The 23,216-nt window shown below is 43.5% G+C and overlaps 1 protein-coding gene across 8 annotated transcripts in view, besides 2 other annotated features; it reads right to left on the bottom strand.

Moving 5' to 3' along the window:
• The window catches only part of HGSNAT (heparan-alpha-glucosaminide N-acetyltransferase), a 62,392-nt gene that overhangs the window by 22,242 nt on the left and 16,934 nt on the right, over positions 1-23,216 (bottom strand). For 4 of the 8 annotated variants that reach the window (XM_005273409.2, NM_001363227.2, NM_152419.3 and 1 more), the window contains exons 3-10: positions 21,903-22,039; positions 21,570-21,691; positions 19,107-19,176; positions 11,372-11,441; positions 9,920-10,029; positions 8,228-8,304; positions 6,871-6,901; positions 2,380-2,540 (exon numbers count right to left, since the gene is read on the bottom strand). In XM_005273409.2, the coding sequence (XP_005273466.1) occupies positions 2,380-2,540; positions 6,871-6,901; positions 8,228-8,304; positions 9,920-10,029; positions 11,372-11,441; positions 19,107-19,176; positions 21,570-21,691; positions 21,903-22,039 (778 nt within the window). Of the gene's footprint in view, positions 1-2,379; positions 2,541-6,870; positions 6,902-8,227; positions 8,305-9,919; positions 10,030-11,371; positions 11,442-19,106; positions 19,177-21,569; positions 21,692-21,902; positions 22,040-23,216 lie in introns of those variants that run through there. The other 4 variants (XM_005273411.2, NM_001363228.2, NM_001363229.2 and 1 more) reach the window with 3 other exon arrangements.
• Positions 17,520-17,679: an enhancer, noted in NCBI's record as "active region_27324". NCBI's record gives its function as "activates an Ori minimal core promoter by ATAC-STARR-seq in GM12878 lymphoblastoid cells {active_cell/tissue: GM12878}" and the evidence as "EXISTENCE:reporter gene assay evidence [ECO:0000049][PMID:35858748]".
• Positions 20,063-20,162: an enhancer, noted in NCBI's record as "active region_27323". NCBI's record gives its function as "activates an Ori minimal core promoter by ATAC-STARR-seq in GM12878 lymphoblastoid cells {active_cell/tissue: GM12878}" and the evidence as "EXISTENCE:reporter gene assay evidence [ECO:0000049][PMID:35858748]".

Here is a 23,216-nt window from a genome sequence, read left to right as displayed (position 1 = left end):
AGTCTGGAAAGTGAGGAGCGTCTCTGCCCGGCCGCCATCCCATCTGGGAAGCGAGGAGCGCCTCTTCCCCGCCGCCATCCCATCTAGGAAGTGAGGAGCGTCTCTGCCCGGCCGCCCATCGTCTGAGATGTGGGGAGCACCTCTGCCCCGCCGCCCTGTCTGGGATGTGAGGAGTGCCTCTGCTGGGCCGCAGCCCTGTCTGGGAGGTGGGGAGCGTCTCTGCCCGGCCGCTCCGTCTGAGAAGTGAGGAAACCCTCTGCCTGGCAACCGCCCCGTCTGAGAAGTGAGGAGCCCCTCCGTCCGGCAACCACCCCGTCTGGGAAATGAGGAGCGTCTCCGCCCAGCAGCCACCCCGTCCGGGAGGGAGGTGGGGGGGGTCAGCCCCCCGCCCGGCCAGCCACCCCGTCCGGGAGGTGAGGGGCTCCTCTGCCCGGCCGCCCCTACTGGGAAGTGAGGAGCCCCTCTGCCCGGCCAGCCGCCCCATCCGGGAGGGAGGCGGTGGGGGGGGGGGTCGGCCAGCCGCCCCGTCCGGGAGGGAGGTGGGGGGGTCAGCCCCCCGCCCGGCCAGCCGCCCCGTCTGGGAGGTGAGGGGCTCCTCTGCCCGGCCGCCCCTACTGGGAAGTGAGGAGCCCCTCTGCCCGGCCAGACGCCCCGTCCAGGAGGGAGGTGGGGGGGTCAGCCCCCCGCCCGGCCAGCCGCCCAGTCCGGGAGGGAGGTGGGGGGTCAGCCCCCCGCCCGGCCAGCCGCCCCGTCTGGGAGGGAGGTGGGGGGATCAGCCCCCCGCCTGGCCAGCCGCCCCATCCGGGAGGTGAGGGGCGCCTCTGCCCGGCCGCCCCTACTGGGAAGTGAGGAGCCCCTCTGCCCGGCCAGCCGCCCCGCCCGGGAGGGAGGTGGGGGGGTCATCCCCCCACCTGGCCAGCCGCCCCATCCGGGAGGGAGGTGGGGGGATCAGCCCCCCGCCTGGCCAGTCGCCCCGTCCGGGAGGTGAGGGGCGCCTCTGCCCGGCCGCCCCTACTGGAAAGTGAGGAGCCCCTCTGTCCGGCCAGCCGCCCCGTCCGGGAGGGAGGCGGTGGGGGGGGTCGGCCAGCCGCCCCGTCCGGGAGGGAGGTGGGGGGGGTCAGCCCCCCTTCCGGCCGGCCGCCCCGTCCGGGAGGTGAGGGGCGCCTCTGCCCGGCCGCCCCTACTGGGAAGTGAGGACCCCTCTGCCCGGCCAGCCGCCCCGTCCGGGAGGGAGGTGGGGGGGACAGCCCCCCGCCCAGCCAGCCGCCCTATCCAGGAGGTGAGGGGCGCCTCTGCCCGGCCGCCCCTACTGGGAAGTGAGGAGCCCCTCTGCCTGGCCAGCCGCCCCGTCCGGGAGGGTGGTGGGGGGGTCAGCCCCCGCCCGGCCAGCCGCCCCATCCGGGAGGTGAGGGGCGCTTCTGCCCGGCCGCCCCTACTGGGAAGTGAGGAGCCCCTCTGCCCGGCCACGACCCCGTCTGGGAGGTGTGCCCAGCGGCTCATTGGGGATGGGCCATGATGACAATGGCGGTTTTGTGGAATAGAAAGGCGGGAAGGGTGGGGAAAAAATTGAGAAATCGGATGGTTGCCGGGTCTGTGTGGATAGAAGTAGACATGGGAGACTTTTCATTTTGTTCTGTACTAAGAAAAATTCTTCTGCCTTGGGATCCTGTTGATCTGTGACCTTATCCCCAACCCTGTGCTCTCTGAAACATGTGCTGTGTCCACTCAGGGTTAAATGGATTAAGGGTGGTGCAAGATGTGCTTTGTTAAACAGATGCTTGAAGGCAGCATGCTCGTTAAGAGTCATCACCACTCCCTAATCTTAAGTACCCAGGGACACAAACACTGCGGAAGGCCAAGGCCGCAGGGTCCTCTGCCTAGGAAAACCAGAGACCTTTGTTCACTTGTTTATCTGCTGACCTTCCCTCCACTATTGTCCTATGACCCTGCCAAATCCCAACACCCAAGAATGATCAATAAAAAATAAATAAATAAATTTAAAAAAAAAAAAAAAAAAAAGAAAGCTGATGAAATCACATTAGCAGGGGGCAAAGTTGGAGACCAAGGCGGCCTGGTCTGGTCCCTGCTGTGCCTCTCACTACACTCAGATAATCCAGAGAAAACCTTCAATCGCTCTTGGCCTCAGACTTTTCCTCTGCACAAGAGAAGGGTTTGAGTAGTCTCAGAGGCTCCTCCCAGGTCTAAAATTCAAAAATAATAATAATAATGCTCACAGTTAGACAACCATTGTATATACTTTCCTAATGATTATTCTATTTGCAGGCACCTGAGATGGAGGAATTGCATTTCTCTCAAATTACAACATATAGTTTCCATATTTCAACCTGAATATATATAACAGAGGGAAAAAGTACTTACATGGACCAAGGCAATAATTGGGATTCACAATGATAATTCCTATGCAGATTAACAGGAAACTCCTCCATGCAATCTTCCCCAGCAATCTGAATTTTGAACACCCCCGTTGCAGTATAGAAGTCATCGATAGAAAAATGGAAGATCCCATAATAAATACAAACCTAAAAAGAATCTAGTTATTAATAGGTGGCCATTTCCAAATTTTTTGTCTATATATCAGTAACATTTTATAATATGCTATAAAAGAGAAGCAACCATAATTTGTTTAAAGTAGCCAATTACTGAAATAATACTGAGCTAACAGTAGAGGAAGAGTTCAGAATATAGCCCCATGGGGCTGGAAGGTTTTTGACAGTGCACCTTCAAGTCCTGTCTTAGGAGAAAATTTCTTTAATATTAAATGGAATTTCCAAAGACAACCCTCCCATTTCGTTATCAAAAAGAAATGATGATTCGAAGCCACAGTAATGTCTTCAAATAACTTGACATTCACAAGCACACCCTCAAAGCCCTTGAAACACAGACATTTCAATCATTTCTATACACCCTTCTGCACCTGAAAGAAAAATGAAAGCTTACTTTTTCTCTCTCCATTTAGTCTAAGTAATACACATTTCCTTTCTTTTCTTTGACCATACTAAATTACTAAATTACTCTTTTTTTTTTTTTTTTTTTTTGAGACGGAGTCTTGCTCTGTTGCCCAGACTGGAGTGCAATGGCACGATCTCGGCTCACTGCAAGCTCCGCCTCCTGGGTTCACGCCATTCTCCCACCTCAGCCTCCTGAGTAGCTGGGACTACAGGTGCCCGCCACCGTGCCCGGCTAATTTTCTTTTTTTTGTATTTTTAGTAGAGACAGGGTTTCACCGTGTTAGCCAGGATGGTCTCAATCTCCCGACCTTGTGATCCGCCCGCCTCGGCCTCCCAAAAGTGCTGGGATTACAGGCATGAGCCACCACACCTGGCCCTAAATTATCTCTTTAAAAAAAAAAAAGTTAGAATACTGATTTTTCTAATTACTTGGCAAGGGATCACAGAGATGAAAGTTTGCTCTTGCTGCATTCCTTGGTGTCTCTAGGAAAAACTGAAAGCCTTTCCTCCAAGATCTGGAACATGACAAGGATGCCTACTTTTCACCACTGTTATTCAACATGGCACTAATAATGAGTACAAAAATAGAGCAGTCAGACAAGAGAAACAAATAAAGGGCATCCAAGTTGGAAAGGAGGAAGTCAAAGTACCCTTGTTTGCAGATAACGTGATCTTATATTTGGAAAAACCTAGACTCCACCAGAAAACTATTAGAACTGATCAACAAATTCAGTAAAGTTGCAGGATACAAATCAACATACAAAAATCAGTAGCATTTCTATATGCCAACAGAAAACAATCTGAAAAAGAAATCAGGAAAGGAATTCCATTTCCAATTGCCACAAATAAAATAAAGTACCTCAAAATTAACTTAACCAAAGAAGAGAAGGATTTCTACAATGAAAACTATAAACCACTGATGAAAGAAATTGAAGAGGGCACCAAAAAATGGAAAGAAATTCCATGTTCATACATTAGAAAAATTAATATTGTTAAAATGTTCACACTACCTAAAGCAATCTACAGACTCAATGCAATCCCTATCAAAATACCAATAACATTCTTCACTGAAATAGAAAAAAAAATGCTGAAATTTATATGGAACCACAAAAGACCCAGCGTAGCCAAAGTTATCCTGAGCAAGAGAACAAAACTGGAAGAATCACATTACCTGACTTTAAATTATACCACAGAGCTATAGAAACAAAAACAGCATGGTAGTGGCATAAAAACAGACACATAGATAGTGGGACAGAATAAAGAACTCAGAGCTAAATCCATATAGCTACAGTGAACTCATTTTCGACAAAAGTGCCAAGAACACACATTGGAGAAAGGACAGTCTCTTCAAAAAAATGATGCTAGAAAACTGGATATTCATATGCAGAAGAATGAACCTAGACCCCTATCTCTCATCATATTAAAAAAATCAAATCAAAATGGATTAAAGACTTAAACTTAAGACCTCAAACTATGAAACTACTAAGAGAAAACATTGGGGAAACACTCCAGCACACTGGACTAAGTGAAGATTTCTTGATTAACACTTCACACAGCACAAGTAACCAAAGCAAAAATGGACAAACGGGATCATATCAAGTAAAAAGCTTCCACACAGAAAAGAAGATAATTAACAAAGTGAAGAGACAACCCATGGAATGGGAGAAAATATTTGCAAACTCCCCATCAGACAAGCAATAAATAGCCAGAACATATAAGGAGCTCAAACAACTCTATAGGAAAAAAAATCTAATAATCCAATTAAAAATGGATTAAAAGGCCGGGCTCGGTGGCTCACGCCTGTAATCCTAGCACTTTGGGAGGCCAAGGCAGGCAGATTACCTGAGGTCAGGAGTTCAAGACCAGCCTGGCCAACATGGTGAAACCTCATCTCTACTAAAAATACAAAAAAATAGCCAGGTGTGGTGGTGCGCACCTGTAATCCCAGCTACTCGGGAGGCTGAGGCAGAAGAATCGCTGGAACCCAGGAGGCAGAGGTTGCAATGAACCAAGATCATGCCACTGCACTCCCACCTGGGCTACAGAGCAAGACTTCATCTTGAAAAAAAAAAAAAAAAAAAAAAAAAGAGGACAAAAGATCTGAACAGACATTTCTCAAAAGAAGACATCCAAATGGCAAACACGAATATGAAACGGTGCTCAACATCATTGATCATCAGAGAAATGCAAGTCAAAGCTACAGTGAGATATCATCTTACCCCAGTTAAAATGGTTTTTATCCAAAAGACAGCAATAACCAATGCTGATGAGGAGGTGGGGAAAAGGGAACACTTGTACACTGTTGGTGGGAATGTAAATTAGTACAATCACCATGGACAATAGGTTAGAGGTTCCTCAAAACCTAAAAGTAGAGGTACCATATGATCCAGCAATCCCACTGCTGGGTATATATGCAAAAGGAAGGAAATCAGTATATTGAAGAGATACTCCCATCTTTATTGCAGCACTATTCACAATAGCCAAGATCTGGAAGCAGACTAAGCATCCATCAACAGACACTTAGAAAGAAAATGTGGTGTATATACACAATGAAGTACTATTCAGCCATAAAAAAGAATGAGATCCTGTCATGTGCAACAGCATGGATGGAACTCGAGGACATTATGTTAAGTGAAATAAGCCATGTTCCAATTATTTGTGGAGCTAAAAATTAAAACAACTGAACTCAGGGCGATAGAAGGATGGATACCAGAAGGGAAGGGTAGTGGGGAGGGAAGGAGGGGGCGTGGTTAATGAGTACAAAAATATAGCTGGATGGAATGAATAAGATCAAGTATTTGATAGCATGACAGGGTGACTACAGTCAACAATAATTTACTGTACATTTAAAAATAACTAAAAAATTATAATTGGATTGTTTATAACACAAAATGGTAAATGCCTGAGGGGGTGGGTACCCCATTTACCCTGATGTGATTATTACACATTGTATGCCTGCATCAAAATATCTCATATCTACCATACTATATAAACTATGTACCCACAAAAATTTAAAATTTGAAATAAAAAATAACAATAATAAGGCTGGTACTACCTGCTAATGAGGGAGCAATGTCACTTAATACACCATAGCAAAGATACAAATTCCACATCACATAGGCAATGTCCCTTCACAAGAATAAGAAGCTATGAATGATCAGAGACAGAATTGAGCTACTCAACTGTTATTTTAAATTTTAGTTTATGACTATCATTGCCCACCTACATATTTATTAGCATTCACTGATACCAATATACTGTAATTCTTCAGGAAATAGGATTTTATAAGTATTTTCAGGATTAATGGAACTGAACTACATGTTCAGAATGTATAATTTCCTACAAGGTTTCAGGATCTGGCATACCATATCTACACTAACAAAATATTCCCTATAAAATCACTTTATTTTTTTTATTTTTTTTTTTTTGAGATGAAGTCTCACTCTGTCGCCCAGGCTGGAGTGCAGTGGCGTGATCTCTGCTCACCGCAACCCCCGCCTCCTGGGTTCAAGTGATTCTCCTTCCTCAGCCTCCCGAGTAGCTGGGATTACAGGCACGTGCCACTGCACCCAGCTAATTTTTTGTATTTTTAGTAGAGACAGAGTTTCACCATGTTGGCCAGGCTGGTCTTGAACTCCTGACCTCAGGTAATTCGCCTGCCTCAGCCTCCCAAAGTGCTAGGATTACAGGCGTGAGCCACCGCGCCCGGCCCCAAATCACTCTTTTATACACACGTGTAGGCACTGGGTCAAGTATGAGAACTATCCAGTAACAGGACTTTTGGAAGGACTTCCTAACCACATAACACATGCCCGTCTCAGAAGAGAGGCTCCAGCATCATCTGAAAAACAGGAGATTGGAGTCAACCCGTGGAAGAGAAGAGGGCAGACCGGCAACTCACCACGGGAACACGAGGTCAGCCACTGTCAGCCCTGCAGAACAAGTACAAAGCATAAGCAAAAGGACTCTAGAATACAAATACCTCCTAAATCTAGTGTGGACTTCATTACACACTGGTATAGAAAGTAAACCCAGGGGAGGCGCAGTGACTCATGCCCGTAATCCCAACACTTTGTGGGGGCCGAGGCGAGCAGATCACCTGAGGTCAGGAGTTCGAGACTAGCCTGGCCAACGTGATCAAACTCCGTCTCTACTAAAAATACAAAAATTAGCCGGGTGTGGTGGCGGGCACCTGTAATCCCAGCTACCTGGGAGGCTGAGGCAGGAGAATCACTTGAACCTGGGAGGCAGAGGTTGCAGTGAGCCAAGATCGCGCCATTGCACTCCAGCCTGGGTGACAAGAATGAAACTCCATCTCAAAAAAAAAAAAGAAAAAGAAAAAGAAAACTCATAGGCCAGGTGTGGTGTGGCTCACACCTGTAATCCCAGCACTTTGGGAGGCTAAGGTGGGAGGATCGCTTGAGCCCAGGAGTTTGAGACCAGCCTGGGCAACAGAGTGAGACACCATCTGTACTAAAAATTGTTTTAAAAAACTAGCCATGTATGGTGGCACACACCTGTAGTCCCAGCTACTCAGGAGGCTGAGGTGGGAGGATTGCTTGAGCCCAGGAGGTCGAGGCTGTGGTCAGCTATTATCACACCACTGCAATCTAGCCTGGGCTACAAAGCAAGACTCTGCCTTTAAAAAAAGAAAGTAAACTCACAAACTCTTCCTTGAGACTCTGCAACCAAGCACTGGACCTGGCTGGGACACTTCCTATGAACATAACTAGACACAGGAAAACCAAACTAGAAATATGTAGACACGTTTGTTATGTTTAAGAAGCACTAATCCATTTGTAAAGCAACTACCAAGCCAGACTTACAGATATTATTCACCACCACTCAGACCAATCCTAGTTCAACGCCATCTCAAAAAGGACCATAAGTCCTAGAAGACAGAGCCCCCAAGAGCATGGTGGCTGTAATAGAAGGCATATCTAGAATATGACCATGATCATTTACAACCAAATCCATAACATATTCTGCAGAGTCCCTCAGTCCCACAGCAGAAACTTCTAGAGTCTGTTATTACAGTGAAGCTTTACAGATTCACAGCACACAAAAGGAGGAACAAAACTAAAGGGCTCGCAGAATCATCTACAGGTCACCCTAGGAGGGAGCAGGAGCTCAGTGGCTCAGAGGAGGCTGCTGGGGCTCATTTCTGGAGTTTCTGGGGAGAATGCTGAGTGATTCTCCTGCCCTGAAGCTCTGTGAAGGACGTATATAAGCAACATTACTTTTAGGAAATATCTTACCATTCCAACTTGCATGTTTGAAGTACCAATATTTTCCTCCTCCATAATTGACAAAGACCATGAGTATAAGAGCAATCCTAGAAGAAGCCAACAAAGAGAAGCCTTTCAGGGTTTGCTATGTGAAAAGGAAGGGCTGAACTGAAGACACATTTATACTCACAAGGTGCAATCATGCAACAATGCAATTCTACTGAGCATTTTATTACACAAGATGAGACATCAAGGCCAAGAAGCGATTATTTTCTAGTCATCGCAATTAGGACCATGCACTACAGTTAGGACCATTGCCAACACTGCCAACATGATGTCTTAACCAAAGTGTATACTGCAGTCTTAAACTATGTAACTTGAAAACATTGCAAAATATTTCCAATAACTCAGTTTTGTGCTAATTATTTAGATGTCTCGGGTTAAAGAACTCTGGTGGAAGGCACACAGCCAGCTGAGTCAGCGAGCTCAGAATTCCAATCTTAGATCCTTTTCTGTCATTAGCCATAAGACCCTGGGCAAGGTTCTCATCAGTAAACTCAGTGTGCTCATCTGTAAAAGAAAGTGCCCTAACCACATGTGACTTTTAAGGAGAATGATGTATTTTACAGCAGCTAACCAGTGCCCAGCATATTTTAGACACTTAATAAATGTTAGTTCCTGTCTATCTGTGACCATCTTATCTCCAAAAGTAGCAATGGAAATCTAAAAGACAGAGTAATAGATTCCGGATGTGCTACTGTTTGAGGCTAACTGTGCAGAATGCTGAGGGTGCTGACCTTAGGTGTCAACAGACTAATTTGGGAGACTCTGTAACCCAAGTGCCTGCCATCAAACCCTGGCTTTCCTATTTGGTACCTGAGTGAGCTTGGGCAAGTTACTTCACTCAGCAGCACAATTTCTTTTACTTTTAATGTGAATCAGGCACATTAAAAGTATATATCTCATAGGATTACTAAGAGATTAAATAAATTAAGACGAGTTAGAACAGTGACTGGCACATTATGAGAACTCCAGAATTGTTAGCAAGTTTCATTATGATCATATTGTTCTTACTACCTGCTTCCAATCTACCTGCCAGGGCACTCAGGGCTCTGGTGAGACTGGGGCAAAGTTATAGGGTTGTCACTAGAGTTCAGAAGGCTTCAGTATGTAGAAATAAAAGAGCTGATACCTGTGTATTTATTCTTCGCTATACAGTTTTTAAACTTTATTTTCAGATTTCAGTCCTGGCCCTTGTTCTTCTACCAGGGCTATGGGTTTGCTAGCACGAGGGCCTGATACTCAAGTCACTCTGCTAGCAGCGCAGGATCAGCCCTCCCTCTGCCACATGCTGGTGTTTCCTTGCTAGACTAGTGCATCTTCTGAGCCGTCAAGCTACTGACTGGACATGGGATACAGTCTGCAGCCCCAAGTAACAGCGACTTGCCCAAATAAAAATGCCCTTCACTCAGCAGACCACGTATCCAAGTGGACACTGGCTCTGGCCTCATCCACTACTCCTCTGTCAATACAGACACTGAGGATCATGATGGTCTTCCAGACTGGAGAGGCTGCAGAGTTTACTTTTACATCCAAGAAATCCTTCCTAGCCTAGAAAGTAAAAGATATGTAAAAGTCCTTAAAAGCTAAAAGTGTGTGTATGTACAATTATGTAGTCCTGTGACTACCTGCACCCACTGTGCTACAGGGAGGCCCACATACCCCCTGAAGGTGTCCACGCTGCGGAGGCGGGGCGGCAGGGCAGATAGACGCCACGTTGCTGGCTGAACATCACCATCGAGAGGGTCTGTCCTGCTGGGAGATCCCAGCTCCTTCAGAAAAAAAGGGAGAAAGATGACAACTCATAATGCTAAGGGGTAAATTTCATTTTGTCATTTTTTGATTTCTTTGTTTTGTTTTGTTTTGTTTTGTTTTTTGAGACAGAGTCTCGCTCTGTGGCCCAGCCTGGAGTGCAATGGCAAGACCTTGGCTCACTGCAACCTCCACCTCCTGGGGTCAAGCGATTCTCCTGCCTCAGCCTCCTGCGTAGCTGTGATTACAGGCATGCGCCACCACGTCCGGCTAATTTTTGTATTTTTAGTAGAGATGGGGTTTCATCATGTTGGTCAGGCTGGTCTCAAACTCCTGACCTCATGATCTGCCTGCCTCAGCCTCCTAAAGTGCTGGGATTACAGACGTGAGTCACCGCAACCGGCATCAATTTTTTATTTCTTTAGGAAAGAATGTGATATAGTAGAAATCTAAAAATAGTTTAGAAAGCTAAAAAATAGTTTTTCTGTAGGCACAGTGGCTCACACCTGTGATTTCAGCACTTTGGGAGGCCAAGGTGGGCAAATCTCTTGAGCCCAAGAGTTTGAGACCAGCCTGGGCAACATGGTGAAACCCTGTCTCTACAAAAAATACAAAAATTAGCCAGGTGGAGTGGCACACACCTGTAGTCCCAGCTACTTGGGAAGCTGAGGTGGGAAGATCATCTGAGCCCAGGAGGTTGAGGCTGCAGCGAGTTGAGACCACGCCACTGAACTCCAGCCTGGGCAACAGAGTAAGATCCTGTCTCAAAAAATAAAAAAGTTTTTCTAAACAATACTTGGATTTGCTTTTGTAAAGATCCCATCTAGAGGTCTGGTTTTGTACTTTATCAGCTTTTCCTGCCTTTTACTGAGTTTGCCAGTGGCCACATTGATAAATGACACCAAAAAAACTAGTCGTAAGTGCATCTAGCACAAGCACAGAAGCCAACATCCCCATAAATGAGCCTGAATTTATTAACAAAAATTTAATGACATATTTAAATCATTAGAGGAGGCCATCAGCATTTATAGATTTAATATTGTTGTCTCTTATTTCTTTGTTTTAACTTTGACACTCTCTACTTAACTGGATTGATTCAACAATGCTGCCTGCAGAGTGAAAAATGTCTCTACCTCAGGTATCCTGATAGAGCGGAACGTTCCAATGTCACTGAAGCAAGAGAAGGGATGGAGCCCTTCCCAGCAGCTGAAGAGAGGGCTGCTCTCTATTAGGAATACGGGAGCTACAACCTGGCCTTCCTCAATATAAACATAAAACTGGACAATAATGATTAAATAAGAAACTATAAATTCCAAGTTTAGAAAACCACCTGGGCAATACACTATGCATCTCATAACTTACAGAATTGATGAGGCGATCAGTTTCTCGAGAACTTATGGCTTTAGAAATCCAATTGTTAAAGTCATCCAAACTGAAAATAAATAAAGGGCTCAATTAATTTATTTTCATTGGCAGAATTTTTTAAATGATTGGATATTATATGGAAATAAAATTAAAGCTCATATTCTATATTACTAAGTAATTAAACATTCTAAACATTTTTTAACAATATAAAAATAGAAATCACAATTTTCAGCAGCTCTACTTATAAATACTCAACTCTGACAGCATAGTTTCCTCATCAATAAAACAGGAATGATGACAGAGCTTTCATTAAAGACTTCAGAAGGTAAATGAGGTAACTATTCCCCGTGGCTGGGATTCTCACTAATAATACTATTAAAATTAAAATAGCAAAAACTTGGAAACAACCAAATTTACTCAAAACAAGGATGACTAAACACAGAATATGACAGCTGTGTGATAGGATGTGATACAGTCATGAAAGCAAAAGAATGTGGGCTCTGCCCACACAAAGAAACATTAAGATGAAGATATAAATTATTAGGCCAGGCATGGTGGCTCTTGCCTGTAATCCCAGCACTTTGGGGGGCCGAGGTGGGTGGATCACTTGAGGTCAGGAGTTCGAGACCAGCCTGGCCAACATGGTGAAACCATGTCTCTACTAAAAATACAAAAATTAGCCAGATGTGGTGGTACACGCCTGTAATCCCAGCTACTCAGGAGGCTGAGGCAGGAGAATTGCTTGAACCCAGGAGGCGGAGGGAAGTTGCAGTGAGCCGAGATCACGCCCACTGGACTCCAGCCTGGGCAACAGAGCGAGACTCCATCTCAAAAAAAAAAAAAAAAAAAAAAAAAGATCAACTATTAAATACAAAAAGCAAAAACCTAACATTTACATTCAATTACAAACAAAAATGCATATGTGCACACTGGGAAAAGTTGAAAGCAACTTTGGGGTGATTCAAATAGTTAATGTACTGGGTTCTTTTTGAATATGGTTGCTTTAATTCAAAATGATCCAGGCTGGGCGCGGTGGCTCACGCCTGTAATCCCAACACTTTGGGAGGCCAAGACGGGCGGATCACGAGGTTAGGAGATCAAGACCATCCTGGCTAAGACGGTGAAACCCTGTCTCTACTAAAAATACAAAAAAATTAGCCAGGCATGGTGGCGGGCACCTGCAGTTCCAGCTACTCAGGAGGCTGAGGTAGGAGAATGGTGTGAACCCGGGAGGCAGAGCTTGGAGTGAGCCGAGATGGTGCCACCGCACTCCAGCCTGGGTGACATAGCAAGACTCTGTCTCAAAAAAAAAAAAAGAAAGAAAGAAAAGAAAGATATCCAGATAACATTAAATTGATTTACATGACTAACAAAAGATAAATATATTAACTGGTTTTTCTTTAAAATGAGATTTCTACCTGGGAAGAAATCTTTTGAAAAGTATACCCTACCCTGGCATAAACAAATTATCCAGTGCATAGGATTTTTTCCCCTTTTATTTTTTGGTCATGAACAGTTACACAGAAGCAGAGAAACCAGTACAGGCATAGCTCAAGACACTGCAGGCTTGGTCCCAGACCACCACAATAAGGCCAATATCACAATACAGTGACTCTCACAAATTTTCTGTGACCCAGTGTATATAAAAGTTATATATTACACTATACTATAGTCTATTAAGTGTGCAATACCATTATGCACAAAAAGACAGTTTACATACCTTAATTTAAAAATGTATTGCTAATAAAAAGTTAATGATTATTTGAGCCTTCAGCAAGTTCTAATCTTTTTGCTGGTGGAGGATCTGGCCTCCATGTTGATGGCTGCTGAGTGGTCAGGGTGGTGGCTGCCGTAGGTTGAGGTGGCTGTGGCAATTTCCGAAATCAAGACAATACAGTTTGCCACAGACTTTTCCTTTCACAAGATTTCTCTGCAGCACGTGATGCTGTTTGATAGCATTTTACCCACAGTTAGACCTTCTTTCAAAATTAGAGTCAATCGTCTCAAACTCTGCCTCTGCTCTACCAACTACATTTATGTGATATTCTAAATCCTTTGTTGTCATCTCAGCAATGTTCACAACATGGTTACCAGGAGTAGATTCCACCTTGAGAAACCACTTCCTTTGCTCATCTATAAGAAGCAACTCCTTGTCTGATCAAGTATTGTCATGAGATTGCAGCAATTCAGTCACATCTTCAGGCTTCACTTCTAATTCTAGTTTTATTTCCACCACATCTGCAGTTATTTCCTCCACTGAAGCCTTAAACCCCCGAGTCATCCATGAGGGCTGGAATCAACTTCCTCCAAACTCCTGTTAATGTTGATAATTTTACTTCCTCTCATGAATCACAAATTTCTTAATGGCATCTACAATGGTGAATCCTTTCCAGAAGGTTTTCAATGGACTTTGCCCAGATTCATTGGAGAAATCACTGTCTATGTATGGCAGCTATACGGCTTTATAAAAACCTATTTTTTAAATAGTAAGACTTGAAAATCAATATTACTCCTTGATCCATGGGCTGCAGAATGGATATTGTGTTACAGGCATGAAAACAACATTCATCTGCTTGTACATCTCCATTGGAGCTCTTGGGTGACTTGCTGCATTGTCAATGACCAACAATATTTTGAAAAAAATATTCTTTTCTGAACAGTAGGTCTCGACAGTAGGCTTAAAATAGTCAGTAAGCCACGCTGTAAACAGATGTGCTGTCATCCAGGCTTTGCTGTTCCATTTATTGAGCACAGACAGAGGAGATTTAGCATAATTCTTAAGGACCCTAGGATTTCCAGAATGGTAAATGAGCATTGGCTTCAACTTAAAGTCACCAGTTGCGTTAGCTCCTAACAAGAGAGTCAGCCTGTCCTGTGAAGCTTTGAATTCTCCTTCCTGGCTATTAAAAGTCTTAGATGGCATCTTCTTCCAATAGAAGGCTGTTTCATCTGCATGGAAACTGTGTTGTTAGTGTAGCCACTTTCATCAATTATCTTAGCTGGATCTTCTGGATAACTTGCTGCAGCTTCTCCATCAGCACTTGCCGCTTCACCTTGCACTTTTATGTTATGGAAATGGCTTCCTTCCTTAAACCTTCTGAACCAACCTCTGCTAGTTTCCAACTTTTCTTCTGCAGATTCCTCACTTCTCTTAGTCTCTACAGAACTGAAAAGAGCTAGGGCCTTGCTCTGGATTAGGCTTTGGCTTAAGGGAATAGTTTGATCTTCTATCCAGACCATTCAAACTTTCTCCATATCAGCAGTAAGGCTGTTTCATTTTCTTCTTTTTCTTTTTTTTCTTTTTGAGACAGAGTCTAGCTCCTTTGCCTAGGCTGGAGTACAGTGGAGCAATCTCAGCTCACTGCAACTTCTGACTCCCGGGTTCAAGCAATTCTCCTGCCTCAGGCTCCAGAGTAGCTGGGATTACAGGCATGCAACACCATGCCCAGCTAATTTTGTATTTTTAGTAGAGATGGGGTTTTGCCATGTTGGCCAGGCTGGTCTCGAACTCCTAGCTTCAAGCAATAATCTGGCCTCAGGCTCCCAAAGTGCTGGGATTACAGGTGTGAGCCACTAAGCCCAGCCTGTTTCACTTTCTTATCATTTGTGTCTTCCCTGGAGTAGAACATTTAATTTTCTTCAAGAACTTTCACAACTTGGCTAACTGTTGGGCACAAGAGGCCTAGCTTTCAGCCTATCATGGCTCTCGACATGCCTTTCTCACTAAGTTTAATCATTTCTAGCTTTTGATTTAAAGTGAGAGACATGCAACTCTTTCTTTTACTCACTTAGAAGCCACTGTAGGATAATTAATTAGCCTAATTTCAATATTGTTGTATCTGAAAGGATAGAGAAGCCCAAAGAGAGGGAGAGAAATGGGGGAACAGTCAGTGGGTGGAACAGTCAGAATACACTCAATACTGATTAAGTTCACCATCTTATACAGGCAGGGTTCATGGCATCCCAAAACAATTACAGTAGGAGCATCAAAGATCATTGATCACAGATCACCATAACAGATATAATAGTATGAAAAAGTTTGAAATATTATAACGATTACCAAAATGTAATGCAAAGACAAGAAGTGAGCACATGCTGTTGGAAAAATGGTGCCAACAGAATTACTCAATGCAAGCCTGGGCAACACAGTGAGAACTTCATCTCTACTAAAAAAAAAAAAAAAAAAAAAAAAAAATTATCATGGTGGCACATGCCTCTAGTCCCAGCTACTTGGGAGGCTGAGATGGGAGGACTGCTTGTGCCTGGGAGGTCAATAAGGTCAATAAGCGTTGAGTATGTTCTGACTGTTCCTCCATCTCCCTCCCTCTCTTTGGGCCTCTCTATTCATTCAGATACAACAATATTGAAATTAGGCCAATTATAATTGCCCTACAATGGCTTCTAAGCGTTTGAGTAAAAGAAAGAGTTGCATGTCTCTCACTTTATTTTTTATTTTTTGAGATGGAGTCTCACTCTGTCACCCAGGCTGGAGTGCAGTAGCGCGATCTCGGCTCACTGCAAACCTCCACTTCCTGGGTTCCAGCAATTCTCCTGCCTCAGCCTCCCGAGTACCTGGGATTACAGGCGTGCGCCGCCACGCCCAGCTAATTTTTCTATTTTTAGTAGAGATGGGGGTTTCACCATGTTGGCCAGGCTGGTCTCGAACTCCTGAGTTCAAGCGATCCACCTGCCTAGGCCCCCCAAAGTGCTGGGATTACAGGTGTGAGCCATGGTGTCCGGCTGCACGTCTCTCGCTTTAAATCAAAAGGCTGCAGTGTGGGAGGTCAAGGCTGCAGTGAGCTGTGATGGCACCACTGCTCTCCAACTTGGGAGACAGAATGAGACCACGTCTCAAAAAAAAAAAAGAATTGCTGGATGCAGGGTTGCCACGAACCTTCAATTTGTAAAACATGCAATATCTGTGAAGTGCAATAAAGCAAAGCACAATAACACAGGGTTTGCCTGAATAATGGACCTCCATCATCCAGCTTCAACAAGTGTCGACACATGGCCAATCTTACTTCATATGTCCTCTCACCCACTGTCCCTCATTCCTGCCTCGGATTGTTTTATAGAAAATCCTAGACATCATATCATTTCATGCAAAAACAATTTAGTATGTATCTCTAATGGATATGGACTATTTTTATTTCTAAACATAACCACAATACCCTTATCACATTTTTAAATGTTAGCAGTAATTCCTTAATACCGTCACATAGCCAGTGCAGTTTCCCTGTTTCATAACATGTTTTTATAGTTCAGTGGTTCAATTCAGTATCCAAATATGATCCATATGCCCAAGGCATACATTTGCAATTTCTCTTTTTCCCTCACAACTCAACTCTGATTTCTAGTTTATTCAACATGGATAACATCACCATCACATGTAAAATGTTAAAATAGACACATCTAAAGAAGGGTGGCCAGGCATGGTGGCTCACGCCTGTAATCCCAGCACTTTGAGAGGCAGAGGCAGGTGGATCACGAGGTCAGGAGTTCAAGACCAGCTTGGCCAAGATGCTGAAACCTCATCTCTACTAAAAATTAGCTGGGCATGGTGTCACGTGCCTGTAATCCCAGCTATTTGGGAGGCTGAGGCAGAGAATTTCTTAAAACCCAGAGGCAGAGGTTGCAGCGAGCAGAGATCGCACCACTGCACTCCAGCCTGCGTGGCAGAGTGAGACTCCACCTCAAAAAATTAAAAAAAAAAAAAAAGGGTGAAAAGGAGAAGTTAAGATTTCTAAAAATAAAACAAAAATACTTAATTTTCTTGTTCATGCTTGTTGCCTAAGTGAAAAAGAGAGGGGCTCTTTATTCTCTCGACTTTTTCTGGTTGTTTTTTGGCTCACAGTCATCTGAACCTCCCTGGGTATGTTGGAAAGCGAGGGGGCAAGGAATAAGGGACTCCTGCTTTGTCAAGAAGAGCATTCTGCCCGCAGGCTGGAAGGGCAGCATCATGTGCAAAGAGTAGTTTCAGTTCCACATGGGGCAAGGTGGAATCTCTTCCCTTTGAAAATGCTTGATCTCAGCTATCAATTACTTTTTTTTTTCTTGAGAGTCCCCGGCCGGAATGCAGTGGCACAATCTCAGATCACTGCAACCTCCAACCTCCCTCCCACCTCACTGCAACCTCAAGCCATTTTCGTGCCTCAGCCTCCTGAGTAGCTGGGACTACAGGCACCCACCATCACACTTAGCTACTTTTTGTATTTTTAGTAGAGATGGGATTTCATCATGTTACCAGGCTGGTCTCAAACTCCTGACCTCAAGTGATCCATCTGCCTTGGCCTCTCAAAGTGCTGGTATTAGAGGCGTGAGCCACCGTACCCGGCCTAGCTACCAATTACTTTAAAAAGTCATGTAATATGACCAGGTGTGGTGACTCATGCCTATAATCCCTGCACTCTGGGAGTCAGAGACAGATGGAACACTTGAGTCGAGGAGTTCAAGACCAGCCTGGGCAACATATCAAGACCCCGTCTCCACTAAAAATACAAAAATTAAAAAAAAAAAAACCATTAGCCAGGCATGGTGATGCATGCCTGTAGTCCCAACTACTTAGGAGGCAAAGGTGGGAGAATCACCTGAGCCCAGGAAGTCAAGGCTGCAGTCAGCCATAATGGCACCACTGCACTCCAGCCTGGATGACAAGAGTGAGACTCTGTCTCAAAAAAAAAAAAAATCCATAATAGATCCATTTACGTGAAAAGCATCCTGATATACTGAAATAGCATTTGCATTTTATCAAAAGGTTGATGAGATAATACCTTAACTCAAAGAAATGAAACTCCACTGCTAGAATCTTCCTCTATCCCTAAAAAACAGGTTACACACCGGCTTCTGGGCAACATGTGGTTCTTTTACCCTATACACAGTTGGGGTCCTCACACATGGAATTATACTATTTCTAAGATGTACAAAGCTAGAGTATCACAGTGCAGAAATTCCCCAAAGCTTCAGGGTTTCCCAAGCTAGCCGACTTAGAGGTTAGGTTTTCATTCTTTCAGTTTGGATATTGCTCATCAATAAAACCTTGTGGTTCTTCTTGAGACCCTAACAAGATAAGCATGAGAAAATTCACTCTTATTCTTTTTAAAACATGAAAAAAACTTTCCTTTGAAAGTTAATTAAAACTGGATCTATTTTACTTTCTTGTTCTAGTCTACTAATTCACTCTTACCAGAATCGCTATTCACCACGCAGAGCAGGACCAGTCCCTTCTCCACATTGGCTAACAAACTAACCAAGGGACAGGGAGTCCGTGCGAGGTCCAGAAGAACAGCCACCAGGCATACATCTGTGCCACCAGATGCCTGGGCTGGCAGAGGTTGGGCAGCTGGACTAGAAGGTGCCTCAGGGCTCAGGGCCAGAGAGGGGGAAGGGAGTTCAGTGCAGCGACCTCCTCCTAAAATTGTCATGAGCCACTTCTGCTCGTTAAAAAGTCGGATGCTTTAGGAAATAATGATTTCTCAAGCATTTTCTTCCTCTTCAGCCATGTGGGAGGAAGGAAGGAAAAAATCCACAAGCACCTTTAATATCACTTCCCTAAAGTCAGAGACCACGTCTTAGTCTACATGAGTCCCTGAAGCCTAGCACTGGATGGACATGGGGGACACAGAAATGTTCATATCATCGAAGAATATGGCCACTTGAGGGTGACAGCTGCCCCTTCTGAATGTGTTATTTCTATACTCTGCCTTTCCAGTGGCGTCCTCCCCAAATATCTTACCTCAACAAGAGCCTCAGAAAGGATATCACAATGATGACAGCAAGACCAATAAGGAATGCAATGCTCACAGCTAGAAAAAGAGAAGAAAACACATTAGCCCCCAAAAATGTCATCATGAACATCAAAGACATCACATCATTACATTTATCTATAAATGAAAACCAGTGAGGGGAAGCCTATATTCTCATGCTGAATTTCCTATGCTCACCCTGAAGGGAGTGATAATTGTCATTATAAAAAATATCAAACATAAACAAAAGCACAGAGAATGGTACCATCACCCTATATATAATCCATCACCCAGATCCTAGAATTATCAAGATATTGTCCCTGTTGCTTCATCTATAACTACCCACCCACCCCCATGTCCTGCTTTTTCTGGCTAAACTATTTCTTTAGGAATCCAAGACATCATGTTATTTCATCCCTACATACTTCAGGATGTGTCTCTAAAGCCCTTGTAAAGACAGCCTGACACTGTGTGCCTCCTCACACAAGGCACTGAGAAGGACCCAGCCTCGCTTTTGCTGTATACCAGTAAAAAATGCAAAACCTCTACCTATTCATGAGAAAACACCAAACATCAAGCAAATCCAAATCAAGGACAGTTGACAAAACAACCAGACATTACCCTTCAAACCATCAAGGTCATGAAAGACAAAGAAAGACTGAGGAACTGTCCTAGACTGGAGGAGACAAAGGAGATCTGAAAGCTAAATGCAGTGTGGGATCCTACCTCAAATCCAGCACCGGAGAAGGATATTAAAAGGGACATTTAGAGAAATTTAAATAACCCCAATCAGTACTGTATCAATATTATGTTCAATGTTAAGAACAATGTTAAGTTGCTGGTTTCAGTAATAGTATGTGGGATAATTACACTGTGATTTTACAGTTTAGGGTTTAGGGGAAGCTAAGTGAAGGATATTTGAGAACTCTTTTTGCAACACTTCTACAAATCTAAAACTATTTCAAAACTAAAAGTATCTTTGAAATGGGCCTTTTGTTATATAAACACAATGTCATATGAAATTAACAATAACTTCCTGGCCAACACTGAAAGTGTACCTGTTGCGGTTGCCCCATGACTGGTGGATGTGTTCAGCTGGTAAAAATTCCCCTTCACCTCGTGGTTTCATCCACTCATATAGTATATGCCTGAATCACAATCACTTACTTCATTAAGGGTTGCGACATATCCTGCCCTTTTGCTGTATTTATTACCTGGAATTCTTCTCCACAGAATTTTCCCTCAACAGGGACTATCTTTGGTTACCCTGAATTACAGTTAAAACGGGCAAAATAAATGCTTAAATCTCTCCTTTCAACTGACAATTTTAAATCACACAGTTAACATCAGGTGCCCTGATTACCTATAAAGACAAAGCATTGTTTTTGTTTTCTTTGGGAAGGCAGGCCTTGCTCATCTTAGTTTCATATGACCTCATGGTTTTTATACATTCATTATTTTTCTTCCACTACATATATTATTCTTCTTAATGCTTAAATTGTCCTACATTGGCCCTTTCATATCGGCTCCTGCGTTCTTTTGATATAACCTCATAGTCTTTAATAGCTTCCCTGTGAACAGTACTTGTTCACACCACAGGGATTTGTTACTGCCTTTCAAAAGGCAGCACATACATTGTTACCTAATAGGGAGTTCCGAATGGCAGATTTTCTTCAGTGGGGTTATTAGATAATGAATGATCCCTCCTTAACCTAAGAGGATCTCTGGACTGGCAGCAGAAGATATACAGGAAATACTATACGCTCACTCCTAAAACAAGGAGAGATATTTGACAGTCAATTACCCTATTTCTAGTTTCTTTCCACTGCATTAACATTTTTGGCTTATTAATGCTTCATAATTAAACTAAAAACTATGAGAATGTATTGATATATCATATAATTTTTTTTGAGACAAGGTCTGGCTCTATCACCCAGGTTGCAGTGCAGTGGTACAATCTTGGCTCATTGCAACTTCTGCCTCCCAGGTTCAAGCCATCCTCCCACCTCAGCCTCCCAAGTAGCTGGGACTACAGGCACGCATCGCCAGGCCCAGCTAATTTTTGTATTTTTTGTAGAGATGGGGTTTTACCACATCACCCAGGCTCGTCTCAAACTTGTGAGCTCGAGTGATCTGCCTGCCTTGGCCTCCCAAAGTGCTGGGATTACAAGCATGAGCCACCATGCCAGGCCAATAAATAATTTTTTAATGTCACATAATTGTATTATTATATACAGATAATACAATAAACATATTTTAAATACATCATAACTAAGTAGAAATAACCTATAATTTATGTGGATTTTTTGGGGGGAGTGGTGCTCATCAATGACCTAAGATTTAGGTTTTCAACTACAGAAAGCGTCATGGACTGCTTTGCTTTACAAACAGTACTCAAAAACTGAAACCTCTGAAAATGCAAATGTGAAAATCAGCAGAGAACATATACGTACGAAGGTTACTATCAACTGGATCCTCGTTCACAGCCAGGTCACAGGCAATTTCACTAACTCCATTATGGATGTTCTTTACCAAGAGAGAATAGTTTCCAAATTCTCCAAATCTGTATTCCAACCTACAAACATTAGGTAAAATTAAGACAAGTGGTTAGATTAGAAAATAAGAAGTTGGATTTTGCTAATATCATGGAGGCAGAATAATACATGTTCCTGGGTACGGACCAGAAAAGATAAAGAAAAATACTGTAAAGAGAAAAAAAGCTAAAACCAAAATAGAAAAAGAGAAAATGCAGACTTCACTTAGATCACAACAAAGCAGGCACAAACCTACAAACTTCTTTCTCTTCCAAGGTGTCGTTCAGCTGCAGGATAGATCCGTGCTGGGTGCTGACAGAGGCAGCTGCAGCACTAGGCTTCCCTGCTTTTGGACTCTGAGGAACGTTTACCAGAACCTGAAACAAGCACTGTAAATAAAAGCACAACAGGTCAACCGCCAGAGGTTTTTCAACATCTGTTGATTGCTGGAGGACATAAATATCCAACTGGAGATCCTGACATGACTTTTCCTTCATACTTATAAAAAAACCTCTACATTTCAATAATTTAAATTTACCTATTATTTTGTACTAAAACAATGACTGGGCTGGGCGCAGTGGCTCATACCTGTAATCCCAGCACTTTGGGAGGCCAAGGCAGGCGGATCAGGAGGTCAGGAAATCAAGACCATCCTGGCCAACATGGTGAAACCCTGTCTCTACTAAAAAATACAAAAATTAGCTGGACGTGGTGGCACATGCCTGTAATCCCAGCTACTTGGGAGGCTGAGGCAGGAGAATCGCTTGAACCAGGGAGTAGGAGGTTGCAGTGAGCTGAGATCACGCCACTGCACTCCAGCCTGGCAAGAGAGCAAGACTCTGTCTCAAAACAAAAAACAAAACAAAAAAAAAATCACTGTGTCACTATGGAATTGTACAATCTTCATAGGTAAACTTCACAAATCAATAAGTAGAACATACATTAAGTCTTGCATTAAGTCTTGCATAAATTTAATATTAACAAGTAAGTTTCCATGATTTTATCTAATGTGCATATTTGTAACTTAATATATGTATTCTAGTCAGTCCATCAAATACTTTGAGTATTTAGGCTGGTTTCAAAGCTTTTTTAATCTATTTATTGTTTTTGCTATATAAATTATGTGTTTTAAAAGACCTACACATGAGGTTCTTATTACTTTTTTGTTTTGTTTTATTTTTGTTTTGAGATGGGGTCTCACTCTGTCACCCAGGTTGGAGTGCAGTGGCATGATCTCAGCTCACTGCAACCTTCACCTCCCAGGCTCAAGCAATTCTCCCACCTCAGCCTCCCAAGTAGCTGGGACCACAGGCACGCATCACTACGCCCAGCTAGTTTTTTGTACTTTTTGGTAGAGATGGGGTTTTGCCATGTTGCCCAGGCTTGTCTTGAACTCCTGAACTCAGGTGATGCACCTGCCTCAGCCTCTCAAAGTGCTGGGATTACAGGCATAAGCCACCATGCCTGGCCAAGGTTCTTATTCTTTTCAATTCTTTCTCTAAAGCAGATTTCTAAGGGTAAGATTACTGGATTAAAAAAATAGTCATTTTAATAGCTCCCGTTACA

This window comes from Homo sapiens, chromosome 8 (assembly GCF_000001405.40).
Source record: "Homo sapiens chromosome 8, GRCh38.p14 Primary Assembly".
Classification (NCBI taxonomy): domain Eukaryota; kingdom Metazoa; phylum Chordata; class Mammalia; order Primates; family Hominidae; genus Homo; species Homo sapiens.
Note: the sequence above shows the minus strand (reverse complement) of the source record. Positions and strands in the feature narration are given on the sequence as shown.